The 8,287-nt window shown below is 45.5% G+C and overlaps 1 protein-coding gene across 18 annotated transcripts in view; it reads left to right on the top strand.

Moving 5' to 3' along the window:
• SYN3 (synapsin III) overlaps positions 1-8,287 on the top strand; it is a 550,562-nt gene that overhangs the window by 484,392 nt on the left and 57,883 nt on the right. The gene's annotated exons all lie outside the window — the stretch shown is intronic.

Here is an 8,287-nt window from a genome sequence, read left to right as displayed (position 1 = left end):
TCTGGGCAACATAGTGAAACCCCGTCTCTACTAAAATAAAAAAAAAAAAAAAATTAGCCGGGCGTGGCAGCGGGCACCCGTAATCCCAGCTACTCGGGAGGCTGAGGCAGGAGAATCACTTGAACCTGGGAGGCGGAGGATGCAGTGAGCCGAGATCACACCACTGCACTCCAGCCTGGGCGACACAGCGAGACTCTGTCTCCCAAAAAAAAAAAAAAAAAAAAACCCCTTCCTTCCCCTGTGAGTTTTCCTTTCCTTTTCCTTTCCAGTTGTACCACCAAAACAGAGTGACTTCCTCTCGGGGGCTGCTGTGTCCTCTTTCAAAACATGAGTGAACTGGGCCACTCAAAACTCTCCTTTTGCATGAAATCCTACAGGAAACTTGAAATCATGGATAAAAGTAGCATTAGATTAGCTGTAATTTTATTCAATAACTTTTCATTTACAACATGTATGATAGAGTTCATCAAGAGAACAATAAGGCCCTTTTGATGAACTCAGTCCTATATTAGCCTCAGCACCCAACTTCCCTTTCTATTTTGTGTCCTTGAATAGCATAGTGTTGACAAAATCACCAGTATTTTACCGGCTTTCTCTGCAATCTCCAAATAAACCAAGATGGAAGGAGAGGCCTTATTCTGAGGATTGCACCAGAAAAGGTCACCCAGGCAGCTCATGTGTGTGGAACATTTGAGTGTCCTTTTTGGATGCTTTAAAGTCAAGCTTTTAAATATTTTATTTTAACAAAATGACAATCAAGCCATTTGTGCAACATGTCATATCCTTACCTGGAATACTGAAAACAGTCATAAACTGTCTTCCAGCCAGTGGTGTGCTGGCAAACTGGCTCTCTGGGGAAAACAGGGGGGAACCCTAATATGTTGTGTTTGCCAGTTTCTGGGGTATAAATATTTCCACCACAAATGATTTCAACCTAACAATGATCTAATAACTGGCTGACAAGATGTCTAAATATTTAACAATCACCTCTTATAAGCAAGTCTGAGCCAGCTCCGGGACACCATTGCTTCCAGCCCTTATCCATGGTTGGTGTTCTTGAGTCGAGCCCCCTCGAATGCTATCATCTGAAAACAAACACCCGCAGTGGCAACGCAAGGCCCTGATAACTTTGGCTGGAGCCAAGGAGGGCCAGTGAGAGTGAGATGGGGAACAGAGGAGTGGAAGACACGAGCTGGAGTTGCTGAAGTCCTGGGGCTGGTGTATTGTCAGAAATGGCCAGAGAGCCAGATATAGTGGCTCCCATCTATAATTCTGACACTTTGGGAGACTGAGGCAGGAGGATTGCTTGAGCCCAGGGGGTCAAGGCTGCGGTGAGCTATCATTGCACCATTGTACTCCAGCCTGGGTGACAAAGTGAGATGCTGTGTCAGAAGGAAAAAAAGAGAGAGAGAAGAGAAGAGAAGGAAGGAAAGAGAAGGAGAGAGAAAAAAGAAAGAAGGAAGGGAGGAAAGAGAAAGGGAGGGAGGAAGGAAGGAAGAAAAGGAAGGGAGGGAAGGAGAAAGAAGGAAGGAAGGGAGGAAAGGAAGGAGGGAAGGAAGGAAGGAAGAAGGAAGGAAAGACAGGAGGGAGGGAGGGAAGGAAGGAAAGATGGGAGGGAGGGTGGAAGGGAAGTAAGGGAAGGAAGGAAGGAAGGGAGGGACGGAAGGAAGGGAAGGGAGTAAGGGAGGGAAGGAAGGAAGGAGGGAGGGAGGGAGGGGGGAAGGAAGGAAGGAAAGGAAGGAAGGAGCCAGAATCTGACTCCAGGGGCAGAAATGGTAACTCCTCTTTAAGCCAAGCTCTCCCAAACCTACCTGTACTTTATACACCTCAGATCACGTCATAGCCTACCTTCCCCTTGAGAATCATACTTCAAGACCCAACTTAAGTACCTTCCCCGCTTAAAGCCTCCTCTGCTTGCCCAAGCATGATGCGATTCATGCCCTCCTGTGAGCGAGCTCTGGGCCTAGCACAGCCCCATCTTACTGCACCATCTCACCATCTGCAGTTTCCTCTTCTGGGCTAGACCTTAAGGGCAGAAACCACAACTGGAGCGCCAACACCGAGCACACAGCCTGATACTCTCATTAGTTTACTCAACAAATACCAACTAAACCCCTACCCAGTGCCAGGCAGTGTTCTGGGCACTGAGGATGCAGTGGTGAACAAAACAAAGCTGATGCCTTCATGAAGGGTTTGATTCTAGAAGACACTCAATAGATAAGACTCTCGAAGTCAGTCCCCTGCAGTTGCTGTTCTTAGGAAGGCTGGCAGAGAAGAACTTTCATTCATTTTATTTTAACCCTAGCTAGAACCCACACATAAACAGTGCCACCTTTCATAGTCTTTTGGTTTTATTTTTTAATTATGACTTTGGGAGAAGGACTTGAAGGTGTATTAAGGTACCATCGCCATAGGTCAAGGGTTGTGGGAGGAGGTTGCTTGTTACATATTTATCCACTATAACCCATTAATAGCTTAGGCTGAGTTGCTTCACAGGTTAGGAAGCCCTGGCCAAAATGATAGATGGAGTGAGCTTAACATGCCTGGAGATAGGATGAGCAAAAGGCCTGAGGCTTTGCCCCTGGTGGCCAGGGTGCCACATAAATCCAAGCTCCTGGAATGGGTAGAGTGAGGCAGATCCTGACCTCCCAGAGCAACCCAGGGCCAGCCACTCCCGCTGCCTACTGGTTGTTCTGGGCACTGGGGATGGAAAGGAAGAAGACAAAGTCAAAGGAGGAGAGAAATGGAGAAGAAAGGAGGATGAGAAGGGGAGGGGGGATGCTCTGGGGAAGTTTGCTCCTTCTCAGACTTAAAACTCTAGGAGAGCCTGAAAGGCCTTCCTCAGACTGCCTCCTGTAGCACCAAAAGCCCTAAAGATGGAGTGGACTGTGGTCATGATTTAGGACACCCTACAGGTCACCCATTCTGTTATTTAGCCAACATTTTAGAAACACACACACACACAATTCCCTCTTGCTCTGCTTAAATATATTTTTAAATGGTGTTTTGTATCACTACCATAGATTATGAGTTTTATGGGCCAGATAATTTTTCCTAATACACCTTGAAATAAATATCTAACTGTTAAAATTATCCATGTTCATTTGTGTCCCCCCTAAATCATCCTGTGGGCCACCAGTGTCACGCATTGTGGGTCACTGGTAGAGAGAAGTCAGCATCCCAGTGCTGAGCAGGCTTGAAGCCAGTGTTGGTCTTTGGCTCATGGGTAAGTAACCCTATCCAAGCTACCTGCTCCTCCCTGTGTGCCTCAGCTGCAAAATGAGAGGGTTGACCAGATGCCAACTCACGTCCCTTCACACTGAGATTCTAAGCTGTTTTTTCTATAAGGGTAGAGTTGCTAAATGCGGCATACTCAGAGCACACTTCTCAGCACCCCACCCTCTCCCTCCCTCCTGAGACTCCTCCCCCGACCCTACTACACCCCCTTTCCCTACTCCCAGATCTACCTGGGAGAGAAACATGCACAGCTTCAACTCCAAAATTAAAATTCAATGTTTTAATCAGAAAACAAAAACCTCCAATTCTTCCTAACCTCAGCACAACGCTCTAGACCCTTTAACTTTGGTAAAGTGAGTCACATCCCCATCTGCATAAAAAAATCTTTACTGCTTTTGGGAAATGTTTACAATGGCCTTTAATTTCCCAGTATTTCACAAGGGAGCCAGACAGACAAGGAGTCTAGCCATCCCCTGGCGGGACCCCACGCTCAGCATCCTCCTCCACTGTCTGTCTTTTGGATATAGACAAACCCCTCCCAAGTCCTGCAGGACAGTCAGCAGGCTTTCCAGTCCTCCCTAGAAGGCAGTGTGTGTGGAGGGAGGTTGGTTAAATACCATGTTTAATCGACCTCGGAAGCTATGCATGAGCAAGATAAGTCCAGCCATTGTGGCACCTAACACACCCTCAGCATGGCCCGTACTAAAAACACTTTTCAGAGGACTGGGAGAGGGGTGTCCATGCCCAGAAAACGTAAGCCATCGGGGCCAGAAAAATGAGGACAATAGCTTTAATGCTATTAATGTATCCTGGACTTTACAAAATCTCTAGATACCTTTTTGATAAAGGTGCTTACGGTTAATGACAAACAGCTAACATTCGTTGCTTTGTGCCTGGCACTGTTCAAATCATTGGGCCAGTTTACTTCTAAATCTTCACAGTAACTCTGTGAAGCAGGTACTATTACAAACCCCATTTTACGGATGAGAAAATTAAGGTTTAGAGAAGTTAAGAAATGTCCCAAGGTCACATAGTTAGGAAGTAGTAAAGCCTGACTCCCAAACCATGCTCAAAGCCATACCTTCCATTTGTGGAGTATTTCGTATTTTTAAAACTCTTATGCATGCAATAATAACCATCACCTAGAAGAAATAGATAGATTTTATATATATATATATATAGAGAGAGAGAGAGAGAGAGAGAGAGAGAGAGAGATTGATTGATTTTAGATAGATATAGATAGATGATACATTTTAGATACAGATAGATTTTAGATCAATTGATAGATTTTAGATAGATAGAGAAGATAGATAGATAGATAGATAGATAGATAGATAGATAGATAGATAGATTTTGGATGGAGATAGATAGATTTTAGATAGGTATAGATGGATAGATAGATATATTTTGGATGGATAGAGATAGATAGATAGATTTTATATAGATAGGTGTAGATAGATAGATAGATAGATAGATAGATAGATAGATAGATAGATTTTGGATGCATAGAGATAGATAGAAAGAAAGAATTAGGTAGATAGAATTTCTAATCCTCCCAACTCTCTGAGGGTGAGTATAAATATTATCATCTCCATTTTACACATGAGGAAATTGAACCCCAGAAAGACTTAAGAACTCATTCCAAATCATGGCATTTGTAAGTCCCTAAGCTAGGATGTGAATCTAGACCATCCTGACCCCGTCATCTATATACTTGCATTGTGCTGCCTGCAAAATTTCTTCTGATTCCTCTAACAACTTTGTGACTTGCATGGGAAGAATGTGTGTCATAGTGCAGCCTAAACACCCATCAAATGGAATTCTACAAACCCAGCCTGATTGATTAGCTTCAGGAGGCCCCTCAGTATTCAGGCAATACAAAGTAATACATCCCCTAGGACACTCTCCGGTTGTGTCTTTCAAAGTCTTTGCAAACTAGCTATTTTCTACCAATTTGTTACCAACCTAGCTAGCTAGGTATCCACCTATCTGTCTGCTACAGATATGTTAAAATATGTTATATGCTAAAGTCCTACCCCCCAAGGTGATGGAATTAGGAGGTGGAGCCTTCGGGAGGTCATGAGGGCAGATCCCTGAGGAATGGGATTAGTGTCTTTCTAAAATAGGCCCTGGGAGCTTGTTTGTCCCTTCCATCCTGTGAGGTTACAGGAATAAATCAGGGCCTCACCAGACACTGAATCCACCTTGACCTTGGACTTCCCAGCCTCCAGAACAGTAAGAAATACGTTTCTGTCCTTTATAAGCCACCCAGTTTATGGTATTTTGTTAGAGCAACCCCAATGGACCCAAGACACTATCTGCTTATTTGTTTTCCATTTCCCTGACTAGAATATACCTGTCTTATTTATGACTGTATTCCCAATGCCTAGCACAGTACCCTCAATAAATATTTGTAGACTAAATACAAAGCCCTGTGGAAGTCCAGAGGAGGAAAGAGAAATTCCTAGGAGCTGGAGGAGGAACTGAGTTTTAGGGTTTTGAGGAATGAGTAGGAATTAGGTAGAGGAGCAAGGAGAGCATTCCAGGAAGGAAACAAGAGCAAAGGTACAGGGAGCCCAGGCTGGTGTCATTCAGGACCTCCCAGAGGCACAGCTCTCCACAGCAGCTAGGAGCAAAGGTCTGGCTGTGCTTTTGCCTGTCAACTCCAGGAAGATTCTAACAGCCTTGCCTGTCCCGTGAGGAGCTTTAATCATCCAGAGGACTTTATGCAGCTGTGACCGTCCGGTCCCTTCTGAAACTGGGGATCATCCTCATTAGCAAGCTTCCCCCTCCAAACAACACTGATGCATAAAATGGCCATGGCTCTGGCCCAAATCAGGGTTGGCAAGAGAAGGAGGAGGGAGGCAGGGAACCTATACCCGCAAGGAGTTCAATAAACCTCCTCTTCCTGGGGTTTCATCAGCTTGGGAGTATAGGAAAGTAAAAACAGCAGACTCTGGGCCCAGACAATCTTCCCACTTCCTGGCTGTGTGACCTCGGGCTGGTCACGTGCTGCCTCTGAGGCTCGTCAACCCCATCTGGGGATATGTGGATGATAATCCCTACTTCCATGACTTCAAGATTGGTATCCACTGTCCAAAGTAGCCACCCTCTCCCCGACCACACAGTAGACCATGCCAGCTCCACATGTGAAATGTATCAGTCCATCCCAATTTTTTAGCTAATGTTCTGAGGCCCAATACATAACCCTTTTCTTCCCCTTCCATATTAAGGACCAATTGAGAATTTGCAGAAAACCATTGCCATAAGCTCCATGGAGGCGGGAATCTTAATCTCTTTTGGCTCTGTGTTCTATTTCCACCACCTAGCAGAGTACCTGGCATACAGCAGTCCCTTAATACATTTTTGGTGAAGGAAGGAAGGAAGGAAGGAAAGAAGGGAGGGAGGGAGGGAGGGAGGGAGGGAGGGAGGATCTCCGTCATCGTTCTATTGCACCTGCCCTAGAACACTCAACCTTGAATCAATCCACCGATGGGCCTTCTCCTTTCCTAAACTGACACTGCTGAGCACAGTTGGAGAAAACCTCATCACTGATCTCATGCTCCTACTACAAATGCCTCATCTCCAACCCCAGCAGGGCCCTAGTGGGTCCTGGTGAAGCTTTTACATCTCCCTAGTCAGTTACCTTTCCCAGTCTCACTGTGGCATTTCCAGAACTTTGCTGCTCTCTTCAAGCCCCACGTCCTTCCCATCAAAGAAGAGAATCCATTCCCCTGTATCAAAGTTCATCTTCCTGCACCTCTGCCTGCCCCCACACCTTCTTTCCCATCTCAGTGGAGTCTTTTCTCCTTTGTAGATTTCATTTTACCTCTGAGTTCTGGCTCTCATTTCCATCATAGCCTCTAGGACTTGGCTACCTGTCCGTTTCTTCTCACTCCTGGCGCTCAATGTTGCTTTCTGAAGGGCATCTTTCAACACTAAAGAATGTTCAAGTCTCATTTAGATTTGAAAAGAATAAATAAGTCTTTGCTGAGCCCTTGTACCCCTTTACCTACCTTCTCAGCCAAGTTTCTTAAAAAGGAGCCTGTAGTTGTCTCCATTCTCTCCAGCTCCCTGAATCAGCTCCCACCACTCCACAAAGTTTGGTCTGGCAAAGATAATTCATGACCTCCAAATAGAAAATCCTGATAAAGTCTTCAGCCCCTTGTTTTGCTTGCTCTCCTCCGGGTTGTGTCACTGTTGTACCCATCTCTTAACACACAAACTTTACGTCACTTTCAGGGACACCATGCTGGCTGCCTTTCCTCCTTTGTCTCCAGCCAGGCTTTCCCAGGCTCCTTTGCAAGCTCCTCTTCCACCCTTCCCTTGAGCATCCATGTGCCCTACGGTTCTGACCTTGCCCCCTCTCTCTTTCTCACTGTCCACAGATCCCTCCATCTTGCACTGTCCAGTTTGGTAGCCATCAGCCACGTGCACCTACTGAGTGCTTGACACATGCCTCTATTGAGATAGGCTGAGTATAAAATACACACCCAATTCCAAGACTAGAGTTACAAAAAAGAGAACATAAAATATCTCAATCATAATTTTTATATAGATTACACATTGAAATGAGAACTTTTTTTATATCGGGTTAAACAAAATACCCTGGCCAGGTGCAGTGGCTCACACCTGTAATCCCAGTGCTTTAGGAGACCCAAGCAGGAGGATCACTTTAGGTCAGGAGATTGAGACCAGCCTCAGCAACATAGCAAGACCCCATCTCTAAAAAAATAAAATAGGCTGGGCGCGGTGGCTTATGCCTGTAATCCTAGCACTTTGGGAGGCCGAGGCGGGCAGATCACCAGGTCAGGAGTTCGAGACCATCCTGGTTAACATGATGAAACGCTATCTCCACTAGAAATACAAAAAATTAGCTGGGCGTGGTGGTGGGTGCCTGTAGTCGCAGCTACTCGGGGGGGCTGAGGCAAGAGAATGGTGTGAACCTGGGAGGCGGAGCTTGCAGTGAGCCGAGATCGTGCCACTGCACTCCAGCCTGGGGGACAGAGCGAGTAAAAAAAAATTAAATAAATAAATAAATATATAATAA

This window comes from Homo sapiens, chromosome 22, assembly GCF_000001405.40.
Source record: "Homo sapiens chromosome 22, GRCh38.p14 Primary Assembly".
NCBI lineage: Eukaryota > Metazoa > Chordata > Mammalia > Primates > Hominidae > Homo > Homo sapiens.
This window is presented reverse-complemented; position numbering and strand designations above follow the sequence as displayed.